This window comes from Homo sapiens, chromosome 2 (assembly GCF_000001405.40).
Source record: "Homo sapiens chromosome 2, GRCh38.p14 Primary Assembly".
NCBI classification, from domain to species: domain Eukaryota; kingdom Metazoa; phylum Chordata; class Mammalia; order Primates; family Hominidae; genus Homo; species Homo sapiens.
Genome location: NC_000002.12, coordinates 129,243,701 through 129,268,116, shown reverse-complemented (window position 1 = coordinate 129,268,116; position 24,416 = coordinate 129,243,701). Strand labels below are relative to the sequence as shown.

The 24,416-nt window shown below is 41.1% G+C and overlaps 2 long non-coding RNA genes across 5 annotated transcripts in view; one reads left to right on the top strand and one right to left on the bottom strand.

Annotated features, from left to right (window-relative positions):
- LINC01854 (long intergenic non-protein coding RNA 1854) overlaps nucleotides 1-24,416 on the top strand; it is a 31,719-nt gene that overhangs the window by 5,775 nt on the left and 1,528 nt on the right. Inside the window, exons 2-4 of one of the 3 annotated variants that reach the window (NR_122040.1) lie at nucleotides 18,043-18,251; nucleotides 22,888-22,964; nucleotides 23,768-23,974. This is a non-coding gene — a long non-coding RNA (long intergenic non-protein coding RNA 1854). The remainder of the gene's footprint in view (nucleotides 1-18,042; nucleotides 18,252-22,887; nucleotides 22,965-23,767; nucleotides 23,975-24,416) is intronic. The other 2 variants (NR_122041.1, NR_122042.1) reach the window with 2 other exon arrangements.
- Nucleotides 1-24,416, bottom strand: part of LOC105373612 (uncharacterized) — a 45,936-nt gene that overhangs the window by 21,040 nt on the left and 480 nt on the right. The window contains exons 2-3 of one of the 2 annotated variants that reach the window (XR_007087235.1): nucleotides 21,598-21,794; nucleotides 16,983-17,247 (exon numbers count right to left, since the gene is read on the bottom strand). This is a non-coding gene — a long non-coding RNA (uncharacterized LOC105373612). Of the gene's footprint in view, nucleotides 1-16,982; nucleotides 17,248-21,597; nucleotides 21,795-24,416 lie in introns of those variants that run through there. The other variant, XR_007087234.1, reaches the window with a different exon arrangement.

Sequence of the window (24,416 nt, the reverse complement as noted above, 5' to 3'; positions counted from 1 at the left end):
TAATTTTGTCTTCTTTCATACTAATATTAAACATGATTTTCACACCACTATTAAAATATTAAGGTATTCTGAATTTAATTCTATACTTACCTTTATCAGTAAGTTTTATAATTTCATATGTTTTGTTGCTATTTAGTGTTCTTCTCTTTCAACTTGAAGAACACCTTTTAGCATTACTTGTAGTGCAGGTCTAATGGTGATAAACTTCCTCAACTTTTAGTTGTTTGGAATAGTCTTTCTTTCTCTTTCATTTCTGAAAGACAGCTTTGCCAGGTAAAATACTCTTTCTTGGCAGCTTTTTTCTTATAGCACTTTGAGTATCATACCACTCTCTCCAGGTCTGCAAGGTTGCTGTTGTGAAATCTGCTGATAGTCTTATGACAGTTCCTGTGTATATGATAATCCAATTTTTCTCTTGCTGTTTTAATTTTTTATCTTCAAATTTGGACAATTTGAATATAATATGTTTTGGTTAATATTTCTTGATGTTGAGCCTATTGAGGTCCTTTGTGTATCATAGATATGGATGTTCATTTCTTTCTCCAGATTTGGGAAATTTTCTTTTATTATTTCTTTAAATAAGCTTCCTCCCTGTTCTCTTTCTTTGCTTTTTCTTAGATTTCCATAGTGTATAAAATGTTTCTGTTGATTGTATCCCATAAATCACATAGGCTTCTTTCATTCTTTTTTGTTCCTTTTTAAATTGGTGTTCCCTCCTGAATAATTTCAAATAACCTGTCTTCAAGCTTGCTGATCATTTCTTCTGCTTTATTGAGTCTGCTCTTGAAACTCTCCATTGAAATTTTTAGTCTAGTCATTATATTATTTAGCTCCAGAATTTCTGTTTGGTTCTTTTTTATGGTTTCTCTCTCTTTGTTGAATGTTTCCTTCTGTTCATGTATTGTTTTACTAATATTGTTTAGGTTTTCTCTCTGTGTTTCCTAGATTAGTTTGAATTCTTCATCAGGCAATTTGTCGATTGCCATTTCGTTGGAGTCAGCCACTGGAACGTTATTTTGTTCCTTTGTTGGTGTTATGTTTTCTTGATTCTTTATGTTCTTTGAAGTTTGTCTTACTGTCCTTGTGTTTGAAGAAGTAGTTTTCTCCTCCACTCTTTACTGACTAATTTTAGGACAGAAAGACTTTTATTAGTCAGCCCAGCTAGATATTTGGGAAATCTGTCAGGCCTTTTCTATGGATGCGCCTGCCTCACACCTCTTGTTTCTTCTTTTTAAGATTGTATGTCCTCTTTCAATATTCCAAAATCAAGCTGTCTCTCTGTGAGTGCTTGTTCATAATCTGCAGGGACTCACCTGTGCTGCAGAGACTTTCATATACCATCTCAAGGATACCTGTGGAATGCTAAGTTCATGCAGGGGCTTTAGGTGAGATGTCTCACAGGGGTCATGGGCAGGCCTCTTGGGAAAGTTTTCAGGACAGTTAATAGTATCTGTGTCCAGTTTTTGAAATTCACTTGAAAGTTTCAGTGAGCCCCCATCATTTTTCCCCACTTCTAACTCCTCTAGACTGTATAGTTATGCTGACGCTCTCAGTAGTTTGGGTGGAATGAGGCAGAATTGGGCCTCTTGGGCAATATCTCACAAGCCTGGGGAAGTCAGGATCTCACATTACTCTCACTTTCACATGTGGGACAAACTGTGGGCCAATGAGGTCTCTCTTGGCACTGAGCTGTGCTGCTTTGGGGGAAGGGTAATATTTTAAAGTGACACTGTTCTTCTTACCTTCTTAACTATATTTGTAATTATATTTTTGCTAGAACAGCGTGCTGGAATCTCTCCATTGTATTCCTAGGTTCTCATATAGATATTCCTGACAGTGTTTGATTGTCAAAAATCAATGTTTATATGGGTCTGTGAGAATTGGAATCTTGTATTTTTTCAGCTTGCTGATGTCACTTCTGTTATAAAATATTTTTATTCAATTTTATTTAGTCATAAAGTTTACAAACTTTCTTGACAGTGAGCTTATATTGGATATGGATCTGATTCCTCTTCCAGTTGCTCATTTATGGTTGAGTGCAGTTACCCCTATCCCAATTAATTTTACTGTTAACTTATTATGTAAATCATTCCAAGTGTCACATTATCTGCACTTTATTCACTGATTTTCTGCAGCTCTCTGAGTATTCTTTCTAACATCCTTATTCTGTATTTCTATTTTGAGGTTCAAGAAAGGCTTTGATACTGAGTACCATGAAGTGTTAGAATACAAGAAAGTTTCACATTGGTTATTAATCTCCAGTTTTGCAGATGAGAAACTCAAGAATCAGAAAAATGATGAGATTGTCCCACACTCTTTGCTAGTAAGTGTTATATTGAAACAACTGAGATTTTTTCACTCCCAGCCCATCCAGTTGCCTCTGAACTATCTCCTTAGCAATATATACCTATCTCTCATAATCAGACAATCCCCTAATGACTAAATCAAAGGAGTCCTTTGTAACTTCACCCTTTCCTAGTTGCTTTGTTCTCAGTTGATGCAAATATAAGCAACTCCTTGAATAGCATGTGCTCTACCTTCATAGCTCTCTATGATCCTCTTGTCACCTTCAGTGTTGTTAGTGAATTAGCATGAAAGTTTGAGCTATTAGAGTCTTATTCCAGCAAGTGGATTCAGGTTTTATTCCCCTTTCCTGAAACTCTAATAGAAAGGTGCACTCAAGGCACAGAGATACAAAAAGTAGCTGTGATGGGCTAATCACAGACTTGTCTCATCTGATTAGTGTACAGCCTCAGCTTGGCCTGCATAGATCACATTCCCTAGACTCTCATAGGATTTGACCATATTATTGATGGCACTGGCGAGAGCAGGTGGGATCTGCACCCCAAGCGCCCCCACTAAAAGTCCCTTGTAATACAGGGAAAATGGTGTGGGTTTTAAGCTGCTTCATGGATGCATGCACGGTTGACCCACATCTAGATTCTTTAGCTGCAAAAACCAACACAAGTCCAGATAGATCACCATGACACTTCTGGGTCCTGGCTGGGATTTTCATGTTTAGAAAGGAAAAATAGTAAATAGTTCTTAATCTCAAGGTTTACTTGTCTCTGAAACATCATGCTACATTCTGAGTTTAGGTTACATCCTCTGCACTTGATTGCTCCTTCATATTTTTCAGGACACCACGACCTCAGCCTCCCTCCTGATCTCACACCTGAGTGTCTCTGGGTCATGGGAATTGATAAGGGCTGCAGATATCCCTGACATCCCTTGCTAATCATTCCCAATCGGAGTTATTGGGCAAGATCCAAACTACACTCTCTGAAGAGTCTTTCCTCAAAGTAAGTTGTCCTGGCCAACACTCCTATGGCACCTATGAATGCCAACTATGTACACACTTACATATATCAAATGGTTTAACCCTCATGTCAACCCACAGGAGAATGTATTTTTATCATTCACCTTTTTTTTTTTTTTTACAAATGTGTAAGCTGAAGCATAGGGAAATTAAGTGATTCAGTGCTTGTAGCAAGTAGGTGACAGGACTGGGATGAAGCCAAGCAGGTTATCTCAAGAGTGCATTCTCTGCTTGCTAGGCTGTGACCCTCTTCCTCCTATGTTATTTGTCTTTCTCTATTACAGTGAATGAATGGCTGTGCATAAGTCCTAGAATGCCAATCTGGATGGGCACATTGTTACTCTTACTGTGATTAATCTTCATTTCAAATATTTGTTCTTAAGACAAAGATTTGGAAAAAACATTTCAAAGAAAATCTGCAAAATGAACTTTTGGTATTTTCAAGAAAATTCTACATCCCACCATTTAATGCCATTACCCTAAAAAGCCTGTTGAGGACTCCCTTCTGTTACCTATCAATTCATTTTGTTGCCATTCCTTACTATAAAACAATCCATCCAGATTTAAAGAAATTGGAATGAGCACTCACATTGAATGAGAAGAGCAAGAATGATGTTCAGCCTTGCAGTTTAAAAATAGAGAGCAGATTGCTGTGATTCTGTAATACTCTGTTCTGCCTACAATGGTTGCAAACAGAATAAATAGTGGAAGGAAAGGAAACCAGTGAAATGCAGGTCATGTGAGAGAAGAAGTTTTATTGATGCAGTGGCCATAAAATCTCTAAACTATCATGGTTTTCTCTGTTAGCTTCCCATTAATTATTTTGAATTTAATTAGGTCACATCTTATACTCTTTCTGTGCACAAGATAAATTACTGTAGACTTGAAAGCACAGAAGCTCGAAACATATTAAGTGCAAAGACAGGGCTGAGAGAAAGAAGGCAGACAGAGGGGGCTGTCTGGCCATGGGCAGCTGCAATCAGCCTCTCTTCACAAAAGGGCCGCCATCTCTACTTTGTGTGTGCATTTGCATTCCAGGTCACTACTCAGGCTGCACTGCATGGTTTGAGTGCATATAAATTAAATAAACAGATAGGCAGCCAAGCTCCTGACTAGTAGCACGCTGTTAAGTTTATGTGTTGACTAGTAATAAACCATCATTACAGAGTAGTTCATCTAGAAAACTTATGGTTTTTAGGATAGAATAGATTTTCAATAAGAAAATTAAAGCTCAAGGAGGGAAAAAGATTTGCCCAAAGTCCTGTAGGTGATTACTGGTAGGGATGGAGCCACTATTCAGGACTCTTGGACAAATGCTCTTTTCACTCCCTCATGCGTCCCCTGTACCAATGTCAGATGATTGTTCCTAGTCTGGGTTTATAATTGTGATGTCTGCAGTGAGCTCTGAAATTCTGGAATGGTGCAGACTTTGGAAAAGGTGATGGTACAGATTTGTCCCCCTATTTTTATATATGTTTGGTGAGGCTATTTTTATATAAGCTTGGTGAGGCTAATAGCTAAAATTAGATGTAGAATAGGTAATTCCATGTGTTTTAGCTACATATTCCTTTTGGAAAAGGAGTATCCCAGAGGCTTAGTGCCTCCTAAGAGTCACTAAAGGGCTTTGCTAAGGTGAAATGAGCTGTCCTCAGGGGCTCTTGGTGGTGTTAGATCTCCTCCCCATTTCATGAACCTGACTAACTGAAACAAAACTCCAAAGACCTCAAATGCCTAGATAAAATTAGGTCCTCTTACTGCCAATTTCTAGCTACTCTTAATCATTGTTAAGGCAATTGAAGTATCATATTACATGAACACAGCTTTAACACACTTTGAATTCACCTTGTGAAGGGAGTCTGGATTGGGTTCCAGAGCTTTGGGAAAGGCTGTTGCCAAAACTCTTCTTGGAAAAATCCTATTGCCTTTGTTTCTTCTTGTGATGTACAATGTTAGGTGCATATTATAGTTTCTCAAGTATAGGCCACCTCTTTGTTTCTAATTCTCCTATTTGTTTTACCCTCATTTGAAAGCAAAGAAAAAACAGGAAACACTAATACAGAAGTGTCAATAATAACCTTTTTATACAGGATAAAGAGGGTAGGCTAGACTATTTTCTAGTAACCAACATCCACCAGATTGTCAGACTTACACAACAAAATTTTATAGCTCGCTCCATGCAAAGTTCACTCTAGAGGGCAGTTACCTCTCTGGGGCCACTTTTTCTGCCTCAGCCCAGGAATGGCACTGGTGACTTATGCTCACATTTCATTGGCCAGAACTTGTCTTTGGCTCCACTACACTGCAAGGGGCTATGACCACAGCCACTTGAATGTCTCATAAAGGAAGGACAACTGCATATTGTGAAAACCAAAGACACTATTTGCCCTGGTAGTTAATTTCTAAGATATTTAAATCCACAATTCCCAACCAAATTTATACTCACTGATAGAAGTTTTAGCAAAGATGGTAGCTGCAATATATGTATTTACCTATTCTGCATCTTTAGCTATTAGCCTCACTAAACACATATAAAAATAGGGGGAAAATCCATACCATTACTAAAAACTAGGAAAGGATGTGATTACATTCCCAAATCTCCTCCAGACAATAGATCTATGACATGAAACTGGATTTAGGGAAATGTTGACCAGTCACCAAAATACTGCATGAAGGAATAGTTTTCACAGAAAACTATGAATGTAAATGGAAGAAAAAAATCCCAGCATGATTCCCAAAACACTCTCTGACACCCAGCAGCATTGGAGGTAAGGATAGGCAAATAGGGGGAGTCACTGGCCCTTACCACTTCCAGTGGAGCCACCTTGAATTCCAGAAGGCACAACCAAAGGAAATCCAGGAAGTCCTCATCCCAGTTACTGCCAGCCCCAGGCCTTGCAAGGCAAAGGGGAGGAGCTTCTGTAGTGGACTCTCTATGAGGGTGGTCATTCCTCAGACCCAAAGCTCTTAACATCTTGTTTATGCCCACAGGCTACTAAATCTTGTATCTGACACAGTAAGGTCACAATAACTTGAGAAGCTTCTCTATGAAATTCAAACAGTGACCAACACAATCCCTGACAAACTCATTTCAACTTGAAATTTTGGATAAGCATGGACTTTATGAATAATTAAAGAAGAAAAAGCAAAGACACATATGTGTGTATGTGATTGTATGGGTATATATGTATATTTATTGTATAATTATATGTGTATGTACACAACATACACATATACACATATATGTATTTATGTATTTGCACTAATATTGGATAACAGTCAACACATGTGACAGCTATGGGCTATTATCATTATTATATCAAGATCTCTTGCAAATCACAAAGAAAGAAAAATATGAACATCTCAAGACCAAAACAGGCAAAGGCTCTGTATAGACAATTTATTCATGAAGATCTGCAAATGACTAGTACCAAGTAAACAAAATGGTACTTCATATTTCCTACACAGGTTCTAAATCACTTGAGAAATAAGACAAAGTCAGCAGGCTTACTATAACATGCTGGGCAGAAAGACACAGCTAGAAAAGATATGCTGGACACAGTCTGGAGCATGAGAAGGCCCACTGGAGATCACACCTGAAAAGCATCACAGTTCCCCAAGTCACTGCTCCCCCTGGCCTGAGTGGAAGATGGGGGCTAGAAAAAGATCAAGCATTTGGTCCACTGGCTCCAGCTAATTGTGAAACATGGAGCTAAATGTTGCCACCTACCAACCAACTAACCGCTTTTACTTCCAGGGAGAGTAATGAATGGAGGGAAAGAAGAGTATTTAGAGAAAAATCTTCCTCCTGGAAACCAGAAGGGTAGGATAATGGAGTGTTCTCTAAGACACCTTTACTGAAAGGAAAAATATGTAACTTAATACAAAAATACAATTTCATCTCTACTTTATTAAAGTATTAAAATTATGATAATGATTATAATACATCTATATTAATAATGTGTAAAAATAGATAATCTCATATACTATTGATGAGAATATAAATCAATGCCATCTTTTGGGAAGAAAATTTAGTAATACATATCAAAAATCATAGCAAAATGTATAAAATTTGTCCAAATAGTTTTACTTCTAGAAATCTATGTCAAGGGAATGTTAAATAATTTTTTTAAGAAAAGTAATATCATGAATCTTGTAAAAATATAAAATAAATACATATCAAAGATGGCATTTATCTCATCTTTAATGAAATAAATACGTTATTACAACTGGCTCAAAGGAGAATGGAAAGGACACACATTTACAAGCTATCAGGAAAGCTGAAATTAATTTACAAAGAATTTTTAAACTGGCCAGCACTCCAATTGCATTACACAGGACACAATTCAGTTGTTTTTCTATGAAAAAAATCATTTGCATTATTAACTTTTTTTTTTCTTTTGAGATGGAGTCTTGCTCTGTCGCCCAGGCTGGAGTGCAGTGGCGCAATCTTGGCTCACTGCAAGCTCCGTCTCCCAGGTTCATGACATTCTCGTGCCTCAGCCTCCCGAGTAGCTGGGACTACAAGTGCCCGCCACCATGCCCAGCTAATTTTTTGTATTTTTAGTAGAGACAGGGTTTCACCGTGTTAGCCAGGATGGTCTCGATCTCCTGACCTTGTGATCTGATCGCCTTGGCCTCCCAAAGTGCTGGGATTACAGACGTGAGCCACCACGCCTAGCAATTATTAACTATTTTTATAGTGGTAAAATAGTTTAGAAACAACTAAAAGCAGAGATACACTGAAAATTATTCTAGACAGGATACTCAGCAGTCTTTATTGCCCATTTTGAAGTATTTCAGGAATAAGCAGGACAAAGATTTACCAAAAAAGAGTCCCTTCAAATATTGAGAATAGTGAAAAACAAAGGAAACAGGCTAATGTCTAATAATAAGTTATCAGTAAATTTAACTTTGGCAGAGTTATAGATTGGAGTGCTATAAAACTATTGGAAATTGCATTGTAAGAAATATATAATTCGGTGCAGAAAAATACACACAAAAATAATTATATGTTCACATTGTTGTCCAGAAATTAAGTCTAATATAAGAAAACAGCAATTGCCAAGCATCTGAATGTTTTTGTTTGTTTGTTTCTATGCGTACATTTGGGTTTTTTTGGTGTTTAACACTATGTCCAGAGCCTTATTTAGTGTTGGAAACAAAGGAATAAATTGCTCATCCTAATAAAGAAACTGGAATATCATGGACCAGAACAAGCAATGGAAAGGTAAGAGAATAATATTTAGTCAGAAATAAACCAAGATAATGACAGTGAGCCAGGTCTGAGGACAACTGAGAGAATAGACCAGGAGCAAGACACAAATTCCCTGTTGCTAATGAAATATCATCACAGGGATAGCTAATACAAAACCATGGCTTCTGCCTGTACTACCTTATCCATTAAGTAATTGTCTGTGCTTCAAGAAAGTTTGTTGCATATTAGAGCCTTTGGATAGTGATGCTGTGGAGAATAAGAAAAAAATGAATAAGAAAAAAGAAGACAGAAACTTACAGAATCAGTAAGGAAAAAGAAGACAGAAACTGCAGGAAGAGAAGAGAGTGGGATTAAGCATGTTGCAGAAGCAGAGGATTGGAGTGAAAGTTGAATGTAACACAACAATGCTTTTGCCTATTTGTTAAATAAAATGCTGGGTTTCCTGTAACATGTGGACTGAGTGATCAAACCATCCTTGTCAAACATCAGAGGACTGTAGATAGACCTGAAGATGCTTGAAGGAATATTTGTGGTTTGCATATGCATAGAAGTAATAAATACCAAAATATTAATCGTGTCTATCTGTGATTAGGAAAATTATTTTGGAATTTTAATTCACTTTTTATTCTTTTTCTCTATTTTTCATATATTCTTCAATAAATATTATTCCTTTTGCAATAAGATACAATTTTACTTTAAATAACAAAAAAATTGAATTTTTCAATTTAAAAACCTAAGACCTATAGAGCCCACTGCCCTCCACACTCCTCCTCTACATTAGTGTGCAAGAGATACCACACACTCAACTGATCCTAAGCTAAGTTTGTGATTCTGTACCCAAATCCTGTTCCTCCTCCTGCTTGTCTTGGTGAATTCCAGCATCTTGGAAAAGTTAACTCTTTCTTCAACTCTTCACTCTCCCCATCTGATGGGAAAACTGGTCCTTGTGAATTCCTCCCCTTTACCACCTTCGATATACATTCTTTGTACTTATTGTTGATAAATCTTCATCATATCTTGGCTAGATTGCATCTATACTATATTTCTTTAATTTAGTTACTTTAATTAAATTTACTTTATACTATATTTCTTTAGTCATGCTTGCTCCCCATTTATTCTCCATTCTGTAATAAGAATTTCTTTAAATGCAAATTTGATTTTGTCTTTCAATTTATTAAAACTCTTTAGAGAACTACCATAGCCTTTACACTTCAATCCAGACACTGCAGAGTAGCTCTGTAGGCTTCCACACATCCCCTCTCATAATCCAATCTCATCTTCCACCACTTTCCATCCCTCTACACCTGTTCATATGGGATGAATTGCAGGTGTGAGAACCCCTTGAAGACCTCTAAGCTTTTACAGAAATCTCCTCCATTTCCTAGGGTGTTCTTTAGCCATTCTCTACCTCATTCTTCAAAACCCAGTCCACATACCAATCCTTAGTGAAGCCTTGTGCACCCTCAAGTTGAGGCAGGCATCCCCCACAACCTCTGTCATCCTTATTTTGACACCTGTTATAGCTTTATCAAAGTATATTTTAATTATTATCTCAATGGCCTGTCTCTTGAAGGTGGCTGTGTTTTACTGCTGTGTTTCTCCTGGGACCTTGCCACATGATGGGCATTCAATGAATTGCTGTGGAATGAAAGACTCTGGCACAATTTCCATTAAAGGGGATGAGACTTGTGTGGGTGTAAATTGTGCACGGATGAGGGTCTATGTGTAATTAACACTTTTCCTAAATTTCTAAATCGTGATTAGAAATCCACCCTGGGAGAGCATCACCATCATGATGGCTATGGAATGAGAGAAGAGAATGGTCATCAAACCTTGTGCTTGGCCAGGAAGAGGTTAGAGGAAAGTCTTCTAAGAAGGGTGGTTGGCCCACTGCCTATTGGCCTGGAAACTGGACTGGTTGGGGCTTTGAAAGAAAAACTTGTCAAACTGAGAATCATCCCATTTTTGCCTGGAATTTAAGTCTCTGTCTTTAGATCTAGTAAAGTTCCTGCAATGGAGGATGTGGCTAAAGTTAATCTAGACAGAGATTCGCTGCAGTCTCTACTGGTCTAAGCTGTGGCAAGAACAGGTAATAACACAATGGTGTTCCAGCCTAGCAGACGGGACCAGATGAATGGGTGAATTAGAGCCCACTTCTGCCAGGGTCCTCTTTCAGTGAGGGAATTTTGCTTACTAAACATGAATAGCCACGATTTTGTTTATCCTATCTATGCATAAAGATCTCCAGCATCTTTGGGTAATGGTACTAGTGAAGATGGCTATGCAGTCATTTGACTGGTTGTGTTATAGCTTTTGCCCCAGGTCAAGGCAGAGTTCACACCTGTGCAGACCACAAAGGCCAAGTGTTTGTTTGCTGGGTTCAAAGACAAGCTTGGCTTGGAGCAGGAAGCAAAGAGTCTTTCTTTGGCTTCTAAGATATTTTCTGGGGTTGGGAGTGGGAACAGAGGGAGTCATTTAACTTCCTGTGCTTCCTCAGTATGGTCTTCTGCAAAATGAGGACAACCCTTTAATTGCTCTCCCTTCCCCACTCCTACCCTTGGAGACCTTTAAACTTAGATAACTGGAAGGATCTGAGAGACCATAGTCTATAACTTTATTTTTGCAGATGATGAAGTCAAAGCCCTCATTGCTTCACTAAAGAGACCTTTCTCAAATGCACATCTGCAGTGAGTCATTCCTGCCTATAGCCATGTTAGCACTTTCCACTGCCTCCACGTTGAGTCGTAGCTCTCTTTAGAGGCTAAAGAATCCTCAGGTTGGTAGGAGCTTCCCCTGCTGGTCTCTCCAGACCATCTCTTGCCACCCACCCATCCTGCCCCACCCTTATTCTACCCCATGACTTTCCTAGAGAAGCTGCATCCCTCTCAGCTCCAGACTTCTGCTCCTGCATCTACCAGCATTTTTTTTCTTACTTGGAGACTAGCCTCTGAGTTCAAAGCTCCTCTCCTGTCTTCCTAGGCTGAGTGATGTCTCTCTTCTCTGCTCCTGCCTCGCGTTGCTCTTCTCTGTCATTGTACACTCAGTGATACAGCCACTGTCTGTGTCCCTCACTGGGCCAGAAGAGCCTCTTAGCTGGCATCTGAGCCTGATTCACCTCTTCCTCCCCACAACAAAGCTCACGGATCCCAGAGGGTCATTGGTCAGTAACCTTTTGTGAGAAGGTGAAGGAGTAAGGGGCAGCTTAGCAAGTGACAGAGTACGTGATTGTCTATGTGGGTGTTTGAGAGGATGGGTGAGTGGGTGTCTATGTGAGTTAGTAGGTAGGGTCTAGGTGGGTGAATGAATGATTAGGTGCCTAGATGAGTAAGTAGGTGGGTGCCTAGGTGGATGAGTGAGTGAGTGTCTAGGTAGATGGATGAGTGAGTCAGTGTCTAGGCAGGTGAGTAAGTGGATGTGTAGATGGGTGGATGACTGGGCGTCTAGGTAGATGGGTGAGAGGGTGTCTAGATGGGTGAGTAAGTGGTTGTGTAGATGGATGGAGTGAGTGGGTGGGTGTCTAGATGGGTGAGTGATCCTTGGTGGATGAGTACTTGGGTGCCTAGATGAGTAAGTGGGTGTCTAGGTGGGTGAGTCAGTGGGTGTCTAGATGGGTGGGTGAGTGGATGTTTTGGTGAGTGGATATTTAGGTGGGTGAATGAATAGGTATCTTGGTGGGTGGGTGGGTGAGTGGGTGTCTAGCTGGGTGGGTGAGTGGGTGTCTAGGTGATGAGTGAGTGGGTGTCTATGTGATGAGTGTGTGGGCGTCCAGGTGGGTGAGTGGATGTCAAGATGCGTGAGTGAGTAGGTGTTTAGGTGGGTGGGTGAGTGGGTGTCTAGAGGGACGAGTGAGTGGGTGTCTAGGTGGATGAGTGACTGGGTGTCTAGGTGGGTGAGTGAGTGGGTATCTAAGTGAATAAATGACTGGGTATCTAGGTGGGTGGGTGAGTGAGTGGGTATCTAAATGAATAAATGACTGGGTATCTAGGTGGGTGGGTGAGTGGATGGGTATCTTGGTGGGTGGGTAGGTGAGTGGGTGTCTAGGTGGGTGAATTGTTGGGTGTCTAGGTGGGTGAGTGGGTGTCTAGGTGGGTGGATGAGTGGGTGTCTATATGGGTGAGTGGGTGTCTAGGTGAATGAGTGAGTGTCTGGGTGGATGAGTGTGTGGGTGGTCTAGATGGGTGGGTGAGTGGATGTTTAAGTGGGTGGGTGAGTGAATGGGTGTCTTGCTGGGTGGGTGAGTGGGTGTCTAGGTGGGTGGATGAGTGGGTATCTAGATGGGTGAGTGGGTGTCTGGGTGAGTGAGTGGGTGTATACATGGGTGGGTGAGTGGATGTTTAGGTGGGTGGGTGAGTGAATGGGTGTCTTGCTGGGTGGGTGAGTGGGTGTCTAGGTGGGTGGATGAGTGGGTATCTAGATGGGTGAGTGGGTGTCTGGGTGAGTGAGTGGGTGTATACATGGGTGGGTGAGTGGATGTTTAGGTGGGTGGGTGAGTGAATACGTGTCTTGCCGGGTGGGTGAGTTAGTGTCTAGGTGGATGAGTGGGTGTCTAGGTGGAGGGTTGAGTGGGCGGATGGGTGGGTGCTAAAAGAGAGCCTAGTAGCCAAGTACCCAGGTGGGTGGATGACTGAGGTGGGTGGATAATATGTGAGTTTGTCTGTGAGTGGTGACAATGTTTGGTGGGGGTAGGAAGAGGTTGGGTAGGAGAGTAGGTGGTTGGAGCAGGTAAGTAGCTGAGTAGTGGGTGTGTGGGCACATGGGTAAGTGAGTGGGTGACTGAAGCATTAATGGAATGGAGCAGGAGCAGCATGATAAGCCCGAAGTCCTACAGAGCCCAGGCAGGCACCTCACGTTCCTGACAGGTGCTATCTACACACCTGGTGCTGTCCCCGCCCCCCCTCTGAGTCCCTGCTTCTGTCACTCCACACTCGTATTGCCCCTTCATTTGCTAAAATGTATGCAACATGGTCACTTGGAAGTAGAAGGCACTAAGAGAGAAATCAAAACCAAGTCGGCCCATCAGCCCTGTACAGATGGAAGGCTGGCATAGATGAAGCAGCTTCTGTCAGACCCTCTAGCACAGGCCCTGGGCAAGGAAGGGGCCCTGGGGCTGGAGCAGCTATCTCTTCTCTGGCAGGTGACCTCACACTCAGCCGTGCCACCAGGGGAGAGGTAGTCATAGCAGGGACATGCACATAGCCAGGTCCAATGGTGTGAGAGTGGACGCGGATCTTCTGAGATCAGAGGCAGCATCCAGTCCATCTGTGAGTCCTCAGGACCCAGCTCAGAGCTGGAAGAGGTGGGGCTCAGAGATGGCATAATGAGGGGCTGAAGGAAGGTGTCCACCAGACTCTGAAACTCCACTGGAGGAAGTGGCAACTCTCCTAAGGTAATGTTCTCCCATGCATGCTGAAAACCCTGCAGGGACACAGCATGGTATTAACTATGGTTATGGAAAATAGATTATAACCAAAAAGCTGGGGGCATTAAAAAGAACGATAACAAGTCAGGTGGTGTTTGGAATCTCAGCTCCTCATAAAACTGAATTCACAAGCAGCATCAGTGGGCGAGAATGGCTATTTCCCCAAGGTGGAACCTTAAGAAAAACACATTTTGAAAGTTAATGAGGGGGGAAGAGGCAAAAAGGAACACAGTTTGCTTTAAAAACCTATGGAGAGAAAAATTCTCAACAGATTCCCACGCAGTATTTGTGATCCTGGTTGTCTGACATTTGTGTGGCAAGGACAGACCACTGACTGCTTAGACATGGCCTACGTCTACAAAATCACATTTATGGGTGGTTACAAATTCCATTTCTTTTATTAACTGCTTGAAATGTTATTTACTTGATTGAATTACAGTTCTGGCCATTAACACTTTGGAATAACAACCCAGTTAATTAACATGGGAGAGCAGTGACAATGCCACCACCATCCTTAAGAGGGCCACATCAGCACAGAGAGCTCCTGGTGCTGGGCGCTCCACAGCGAACTCTGAGATGGAGCAGGCGCAAGCCTTGTTTGAGTGGGCTGAACAGCGTGACTCCTTGGGGCTCCTCATTCATCCACCTCCTCCAGAAGGGATGATGAGGCTTCCTTCAGGGCTGCTCAATGCCCTTGTATTTGACTCCAGGAATGAAGGAGGGGCACTCAGTGTTTCTGGAGTGCCTGATGTGCACCAGGGGCTTAGGTACATTATCTGATATTACCTTGTTATTAGAGGGTGAGTCACATGTTTCTAGTCCATACTTGCAATAGAGCAAACTAAAGTTAGTGTGATCAATGGAGTTGCTCATGTTTATACCGTGTGAGGGGCAGAATGAGGTCGGACTCACACGACTGTAGTGGTGACGGCTGTCAGCTGCTACAGTGGTCATCAGCTGTAATTTAAGAAGCTTTCTGGAGCATCAAAATGGGAAACTAAGAAAGCTAAGATGAGGGAGGCGTGTTTTCCATTTTCACAAAGTGGCTGTGCCTCTCTCCATCCCTGTGGCTTCTGCCCACAGCCAAATCTTCATGGGATCTGCAGGCGTGTTGAAACTCCTCACAAGTACACCTCCCCCAGGGAGCAGCACCAAGCCACAGGCCTGCCTGAACTGTGCCTCTGCTGATGAACAGCCTCTGCTGCAGTCACTCTAGAATTTTTTTTTTTTTTGCCTTTTATAAGAAACACACACAGTGTAATAACCATCTGGCCCCTTTATTTCTCAGTGGAGCTGCGTGTGTTCAGTGCTGACCTTGCTGGCCCTGCATTTGGCTGGAAGCAATCCTCTTATTAAATCAGAAACCAGAGGGGACCCCTGCCCCTTACCCCTGACCCCAAGACAAGCCTGAGGCTGGCCTCATCCTGACTTCACCAGATTGTCTGGCATTTAAATGCCAACATCTCTCCTAAGAGCCGTGATGCAGGCAGGAGGCTGTGCACAACTTTTTATACTTCATTTCTCATTTATAGGAAGAAAAGAAAAGGGAAAATGTCAGAGAAAATTCAGTGCTGACACCCAGGGCAGATAGCTTGTTGGACTAAGAGGACAAATGTCTATTGGATGAGGCTGCAGGACTCCCCAGAAAGATTGGGGGCCCTCCCACGTGAACCCATGACCTCTGATTGTTGCCTGCAGTCTACTATCAGTGTAACTGCCTTTCCAGAGCACCTACTATGTGCGAGGGACTGTGCTTGGCCATTGGCATGCCCTCTCTCACTCCTCAACCTTCACACCTATCCTGAGAAGCAGGTCGTGCAGCAAGTGTGAGAAAGTCCAGCTTGGCAAGGCGCAGAGAAGGCCTGCTGCCTCCAGGCCTGTGGCCTTGACCATCCAGATCCTGGTGATCAGCCTGCAGCTTCAAAATCTGTGAATGGGGCATTCACTGTGGGCACCAAATACAAATAGGGGCTATGACCAGTGCTTTCTCTGCCATAGACCATACAGTGCAAAACAGTGATGAGAAACTGCTTGGCCAGATGGGATTTGAATGGGCAAGTTCAGTAAAGAAACCGCACGTTATCTGTGGTGCCCAGCCAAGATGCCTAGGGTCTCTTACTGTATTTGGAATATTGGGATTTCCCCTGGACCGCCCTGGCATGCAGATCTGCTGCATTTGTTTGCTTGCCCAACTCTGCTTTTGTGGCTCCTTGACATTCACAGCCCTCTGCTGACTGACCCTGACTTTCTGTAGATAATTTATTTTTACCTAGTGTTTTCCACAGCATGGGTTCCCATGAAGGCAGGGACCTGAAACAGAGGCTTGCATGCAAGTAGATTATTTGGGATGTGATCATTGAGATCAAGAATGGGGACTACAGGTGTAGGAGGAGAGCTTGCGGATGAGGGGAAAGGCAAGACAAGGATGAGTATGGGATTTGCCATCACTAGGGCAGAACATTTCTGAGGAGCCTTAGGAGCTCTTTCTCAGCCCCTAACCCCGCTTGGTGAAAGGTAGCCCAAGGCGTTCACTCTCTGGCATCTCTGGGTTGTGCAAGGACTGAGGCTGAGGAGCACAGATGCTGCAGGCCATGGCATCAGCTCATCCCATGGCAGGAAGCAAGAGTCAGGTAGCATCTGTCTGAAGTTGCCACAAGGCTGCTCAGCCCCGGTCACTGAAGTAGTGGCTGGAGTGAGAAGGGCTGAGAGGATTTGGGTGGTGCACCCATGATGTGCTACACACTTGCCATTGCACCTTTCACTTTTAAGTCAAGACGTTGACTCAGGATTTAACCAATATTCTACCCTAAGCAGTTATTCTTTAGATTTTGCTTGCCTCAAGGATGTTCCATTTCTTTTTGTTTTGTTTTGTTTTATTTGTTTGTTTGTTTGTTTTTTGAGATGGAGTCTTAGTCTGTCACCCAGGCTGCAGTGCAGTGGCATGATCTTGGCTCACTGCAACTTCTGCCTCCCGGATTCAAGCAGTTCTCCTGCTTCAGCCTCCTGAGTATCTGGGATTACAGGCATGTGCCACCATGACCAGCTAATTTTTTTTTATTTTTGTTTTTAGTGGAGATGGGGTTTCACTGTGTTAGCCAGGATGGTCTTGACCTGCTGACCTCGTGATCCTCCCGCCTCAGCCTCCCAAAGTGCTGGGATTACAGGTGTGAGCCACTGTGCGTGGCCCGGATGTTCCATTTCTTACAGTCAACTTTGCCTATCTCTGTTCTTATGCACACAGACATAGTAGTTGATTCCTTCTGGGCCAATCAGAGTCCCCAATTCAGAGATGCCCTGTTGCAGACAGATAAATACAATGAGACTCAAACATTAAGGAACTTGCCTCAATTCACTGAGCGTATAGCTGCTGGGAGAGGTCTTAAACCCAGGCTTTGTCCTTTTTTCTACTGCATCACCCTACCTCTTATCCTATTAGACTTTAGGAATTTAATGTTTTTCATTAAGATTGCCTCAAGTAACTCTCTTTGTTTGTCTTGATCTGTGCAAAATTTCTTTCTCATTAGTCTTAATAAGACTTTGATGCCTCTTTGTTGTCTACAGAAGAGACTGCAAATACCTTACAATGGCTTTCAAGGTTCTCTAAGAGGTCTTTCCCAGCCCACCTTTACTTCCTAATAAGCACTTTATTAAGCAATATCAGATTATTGTCTATTCCCAGAATTTTTCAAAGCCATCCTAGTTCGCTGCCCTTGCTATTTCCAGTACTTGGCATTCCCTCTACTTCTCTATGCCTGAAAATGATGGAAATGGCTTTGGAATTGGGCAGTGAGTGGAGGCTGGAAGAATTTTGGAAAGCATGCTAGAAAACTCCTAGGTGCCTTTGAACAGACTATTAAATAGGGACACTGTTGAGGAAAATAAGGAGAATTTTAGAAAAATCTTAGAAATCACCTTAGAAAAAGCCTAAATTGCAGTAAACAGACTGTTAGTAGACATCTGTACTTGAAGGATACTACTAGCCAGGGCTCAGAGGGAAGTGAGTGACTTGGTATTGGAAACCAGAAGAAATGGGATCCTTATAATACAGTGGCAGGAAGCTTAGCAAAATTGTATCTTGTACGTTCACAGAGAGACTTGAAGAGTGAGGAAGACTAAGAGGCTGCTGCCATTTGAAGATGAAGTGTACAATACAACAGGGAATCAAGTGAACAGAAAGTGTTGATGGGGATCCCAGCAGATAGCCAACAAAAGGGAACCTCACTTCTACAGCAGCAAGGAACTGCATTCTGCCAAAAACCTAATGAACTTGGAAGCAGATTATTTTCTGGAGTCTGTAGGTAAGTGCCTGTCTTGCGGACACCTTGATTTCAGCCCTGGGATACTCTAAGCAGAGGCGCCAGGTGAGCCCACCTGGATTTGGGACCTACAAACTATGAGATAATAGATGTGTGCTGTTTTAAGCCACTGATTTTGTGGTAATTCGTGACAGCGGTGGTAGGAAACGACCACATTGAGATTCATAGTACTTCTTACATCTGTTGTCATGTTTTTCATTTGTTTTAGAAAATTCTCATCCACTCCTAATACATTTTGTCTGATACATTATTTCTGCCCTCTCCTCCTGGATATTGAATTAGATGAATGTTAGATATTTTCATCATTGTCCTTAGGTTGCTTATGTTTTGACATGTTTCATGTGTATCGTTCATCTTTCTTTCTCACTAGTGTTCAGAGAGACAGGTAAGTAGAGCTTATTCCATTTGATGTCTCCCAATCTCCTAATCCTCTCTTCAGTGTCGCCCAATCTGTTATTAAGCTCACCTGCTGTGTTCCTAATTTCATTTTTGTTACCTTCAGTTTTAAAAATTCAATTTGATTCTTTTCGATATTAATACATTCCAGTCCTCTGGTGGATTTCTCCATCATGCCATTTATTTTCTTGACCATATTAATAATAAATATTTACTAGTATATTTTTCATTGCTATATTTCCATTGTTGGATTTTTCTCTTGATTTGGTTGTTTATGCTTCATAACATTAAATTAAAAGCCACTCATGGCTGGGCACCATGGCTCATGCTGTAATCTTAGCACTTTGGGAGGCCGAGGTGGGCAGATCACTTGAGGACAGCAGTTCGAGACCAGCCTGGCCAACATGGTGAAACCCCATCTCTACTAAAAATACAAAATTAGCCGGGTATGGTGGTGGGTGCCTGTAATCCCAGCTACTTCAGTCCAGAGTCTGAGGCACAAGAATCGCTTGAACCCGGGAGGTGGAGGTTGCAGTGAGCAGAGATTGTGCCACTGCATTCCAGCCTGGGTGACAGAGTGAAACTCTGTCTCAAAAACAAACAAACAAACAAACAAAAAAGGCCACTCACTATGTACCAAACATTGACGAGACCCTGGATAATGTTCTGTTTCTTCAGCTGTGGGTTTTACCACTTTCTGCTCTTGTGTTCTAGCTTGAGAATAGGCTTATTTCCCTTCTCTCTGGGACCTTGGTCTTTTTGGCAAATCTTGTCTTAATTTTGTTTTACTCTTCTCAGAAGGCTCCAAGGGATCTGTGAAACCACTTCTTTCACTTGACTTTCTCCTGGGCTTCTCATCCTTCTATCAGCACAAGCCCCAGCACATCAGTCATTTCAAAGAACTTCCTTTCTCTCCAGGAATTTGGCCCCTTAAGTCTAAGCTCCTTTCAGTCTGTGGTCACATTAATCCTGGATCCTTAGAGGACTTTTTCTTTCTTCTTGCAGTTAAGGAAATAGGAGGAGTATCAGCTGTATGAGCTTTGGATGGGCCAAGTAAAACATATGTCTTTTGTTTGTAATCTTTTGCCTAGACTTGAGTCACATGATTGCACCAACCACAAGGAAGGCTGGAAAGTGTGGTCTATGCCTGTGCCCAGAATGAAAGAGACAGGTTTTGTGAGCACATAGAAACCTGTGCACTAGCACAGTCTAGATTTAATAAGCTGAGAGATTTAATTTAGGGAGTTTAATAACACTGGAAATGTGGAAGTGACCCAAATGACCTCTGAAGGTGCCTTCGGGCCTAGCGATTCCTATTTGATTTCTAAATGTGGTTTACTAAAGAATTGCATACAGCATGCTGATACACACACAAAAAATAAGAAGACGAAGACATTCTGCTCATTTTTAGGAATTAAATGCTACATTCACAATATAGCATATTCTTGTCTGAGGTGCCAAGAGAGTCTTCGTGATTTAGAATTTACAATGGCCTCCCTTAAAAATACCATTCCTGCACAAATTAATTCAGTGAGTCCTCTGAATATTCAACTTCAATGAGCTGGAATAAATGTTCACTGGAGACTGGATAACTTAAAAGTTTCATCTAGCACAAAGCTAAAATGCCTTTGTATCCAAGGAGAATATTATCTTATTTCAAATTTTCACTGTTGTTAAATTATGGTTTAAGTCTTAACTCCATGTATTTACCACCTCTGAACTTTTAATAGGTATTTGGGGGATGCAAGAAAAGCAAAACCAACGTATCTTTTTAAAAGATATTATATTCTAACTAATGAAACTTAGGTGCAGAAACTGATAATGAAGTAATGCATCTGGAGAAGATCAACATTTGGATGAGAAAACAAGAATCACACAATGAGGGCTATTATTGGTGATTTTTAAAAGTTAATTTATTTTATTTTTAGAGTGGTTTTAGGTTGACAGAGAAACCAAGCAGAAAGTATAAAGAACTCTCATACACTATGGATTAGTTGGGTGCATTTACTACAGTTGATGAACAGATATTGATATATTGTTATTAACTAAAATCTATAGCTTATATTAGGATTCACTTTTTGCGTTGTACAGTTTTATAGGTTTTGACAAATGCATAAAGTCATTTACAATAATATAAAGAATAGTTTTACTGCTATTGTTTTAATGTGAAGTTTTCCTGATGACATTTGATGTTGAACATATTTTCATGTGCTTAATTGCATTTGTATATCTTTTTGATGAGGTATCTGTTCAGATATCTTGCCCATTTTGTAACTGGGTCATTTGTTTTCTTATTATTGACTTTTAAGAGTAGATTGTATATTTTGAATACCAGTTCTTTATCAAATATGTGTTTTGAAAATATTTTCTCCCAGTCTGTTAGTTTGTCATTTCATTCTCTTAACCATGTATTTCACAAGTCAGAAGTTTATTAAAGTCCAAGTTATCAATTTATTCTTTCATGGATTGCACTTTCGTTGCTGTATCAAAAAGTCAAACCTCAGGCCACCCAGAATTTTCATCTATGTTATCTTCTAGGAGTTTAATAGTTGCACATTTTACATTTAGGTTTATTACCCATTTTGAGTTAATTTTTATAAAAAGTGAAGTCTTAGTCTAGTTGTATTTTTTTGTATGTGATGTCCATTTGTTTCAGTATCATTTTTTGAAAAACCTCTCCTTTCTCCATTGAATTACCTTTGCTCTCTTATTTGTTTTTTTGTACAGGAGGGGTGGGGAGGAGGGTGAGGTGGGTGTTTAGGGATTAACTTTGTCTTTAATTTTTAGAGCACATGTAAAACTCTTTGGAGGTGTTTCATAAGTGTAGGAGGAGGTCCAGATGTCCAACTGGGTATTCAAAAGCATTCAGAACGCATTCCCTGTTTACTCTTTTCTAAAACATCATCTATTACATTTATTACTGTACACATACCTGTCTACTTTCTGTTCCTCAAACTCCCCTCAGACTCTCATACCTTCTTTCCTTCTGTACATTGTTCTAATTAGAATGCCTTGCTTTGAATTCACCTGGACACATTTTCTGAAGACTGTGCGGGCAGACAAGAGTCTGTTGACTTTGCAAGTGATTTGTGATGTCCATGTGATTGGTGACATTGAGAACAGCAGTTTCTGTAAGTGAAGGCAGAAAAAGAATACAGAGTAAATTACAAACTCGAGGTGAAGAAATTTGCCGTAAGGCAAAAAGAAGGAAAGCAAGAAAGGTAATAGGTAGTAGCTGGATGGAGATGTGGGACTTAGTAGAATATTTTTGTTTTTGGAAGGGAGTAAATAGAATGTTTGTTTTTGGATAGGGGTCCTTCCTCCTTTGAAGTACTCATAGCTTTATGATACTCCTCTGAAGTACCCACACCTGTTTACTTGTCATATTCCTTACTTTCACTTACAGGTGATTTGATACCAGTCCTCAAGCACCCACCAGAGGGCCTTGTGCACATCGGCCTCTCTGCCAATGCTGTTGAATGAGTGACAGCCTTCTGAGGGCCAGGCACTGATGACCAAGATTAGGAAACTGCAGAGGGTGGTGAGAAGGCATTTGTAGGGAAAGTGGTGTAGGGCCCATGATTATGCAGGGAGGTCAGCACCCTGAGCCACTGCTGGGGGGACTCAACTCATGCTCAAGACATGGCTCTGAGCGGCAACTCATGAGTGCTCAATTTCCAGAGGAAATGTGTGAGTTCCTTTAAAAGTTTTTCCTTCACATTTTTGTTGATAGAAACCTAATTTTGCATTGGAGCAGCAATGTGTCTGGACTGAGAAATTTTGCTGGAAGTTTTCACTCTCAGCATCCCTTGCAGCTAGGGCTGGCCATGTGACTGATATTGGCCAATGATATAAGAAGACATCTACTCTGAGGCTTCTGGGAAAGTTTATATTTTCCAATAAAAGAAGAGAACTTTTATCCCCATTTACATCCTGCATGTCTGGGAGTCTAGGATGAATATGCAGCCTGGAATTGCTGCAGATATATTTAGATTGGAAAAATTATGTGAGGATAAAAATCTAACATAGTGCAAGAGACTGAGTCCTTGATGAACTTATTGAATAAACCCTTAAACGGCCCATTGCACAACTTACTATTAAGTGACTGATTGATATCCTTAAGATTGAAGACAGTGAATTTTCTGTTTCTTGCAGCTGAACACATTCTAATATTAATAAAATTTCTTTCACCTTTTGTCTCAATATTTCTTACTTTTCCCAGAGAGATGAGCAGGAAGAGGGATATTAGAAGAGAGAAAGTGAAAACTGGACTGAAACATTGCTAGCTGGGGATCTTAGGTAATTTGGTTAATTTCCTTCAGCCTCCAGTAAAAACAAAATAATTCAGATGTTCCTACAATTTGGGCAAACCTTATTTTCCACTAACAATATCTGAACAAATGGGATTTTTAGATTAATATATTTATTGATTGTAACGTACTTATTGCTGAGACATGCTGACACCATCAAGCTGTAAAATGCAGTCCGGGTTTCCTGATGAGATAGAGCAGGTCCTATCTCAGTCAATGAGGGGAATAGCACTTCAGATCAAGCACATTTAGGCTTCCTAAAGGAGTCAGGATCAGAAATACGGGCAGTGCCTGCCAGTCAGTGACAGAGAGGGCTCATGTTCTGAAGCAAAAGAAGTCAATGGTATGTCTCGATAAAGCTTGACTATGAACTTATCTCAATTTTCTTTTCAAGCAAGCACGCATCTGATGGTAAGGGCATTCCTTATTGACTGAGCACAGGTTCTCCTCTTAGCTCTTGCTCACCAAATCAGTGTGGAGGTTGCCCCATCTATGAGGAGCTGATGACCAGCTAGTCTTTGTTCGAGGGTCTTGGCATGTGTGTGTGGCTGGGAAAACAACCCAGGACTATGGCCTATCTCCCAGGCTCCTTGATGCCCCCAAGCCAACAGCTCTTTAGATTTTTTCCTGTCTTCCCACCTTGCAGGCCAGCTTTCTCTTTGTAGCTAAAAACAAATTATGGCCTTAATCTTAATTTCCAGAGATAGTAGTTTATTAAATAGGACAGGAATAAATGCAATTAGGTTGTGATGCGTGGAGCTGATCTCAGAACTTGGTTTTCAATCACAATAGCCTCTCTTTAGGCAACTCACTCCTGGTCCTGTTCTCTGCACATGTGGGAATTATAATGAGCACCAAGCAGAATGAATGAAAATAAATCCAGACCAAGAACCACTGAAGAAACTGCAACCCACAAGAGAAAACTAGCCAGAGTATCTGCACAGGAAGGACAAGGAGACTTCTCTTTATAATAACAGAACCCAGAAGACGACCTACAAGGTGAGCATGAGAACTGAAGGTTATTCAAATAAAGATGTTTCTGAGCAAAGGCTAAGTTAACCACTCAAAGACTGAAAGAACTAACAAAATATATGCTTCATGGTGAAATAAACTTAATCCTGAAGAAATAATTAAGACAAACATGAAAACAGAGAAAAAGAAAGTTGTCAGGATAGAGTATATCAAGCAAGAAAGAATTAAATATAGAAACAAGGTGAACTGAAACATCAGGTAGGAAGAAACATGCAAAATGAGGAGAGTGAGTAATTCGAGTTTCAAGAAACTGTATCAAAGTTCTTACACTTGTTGACCAAAAGTGGAAATTATGGATCAACTTTAGACATTTTGAAATAAAGAACATATCCTCAAAGCTTAAGTGTAACCACCAAAAAATGAAAAGGAGATTTATAACTAAATCTCCTGAACCAGTAGAAGTTATACT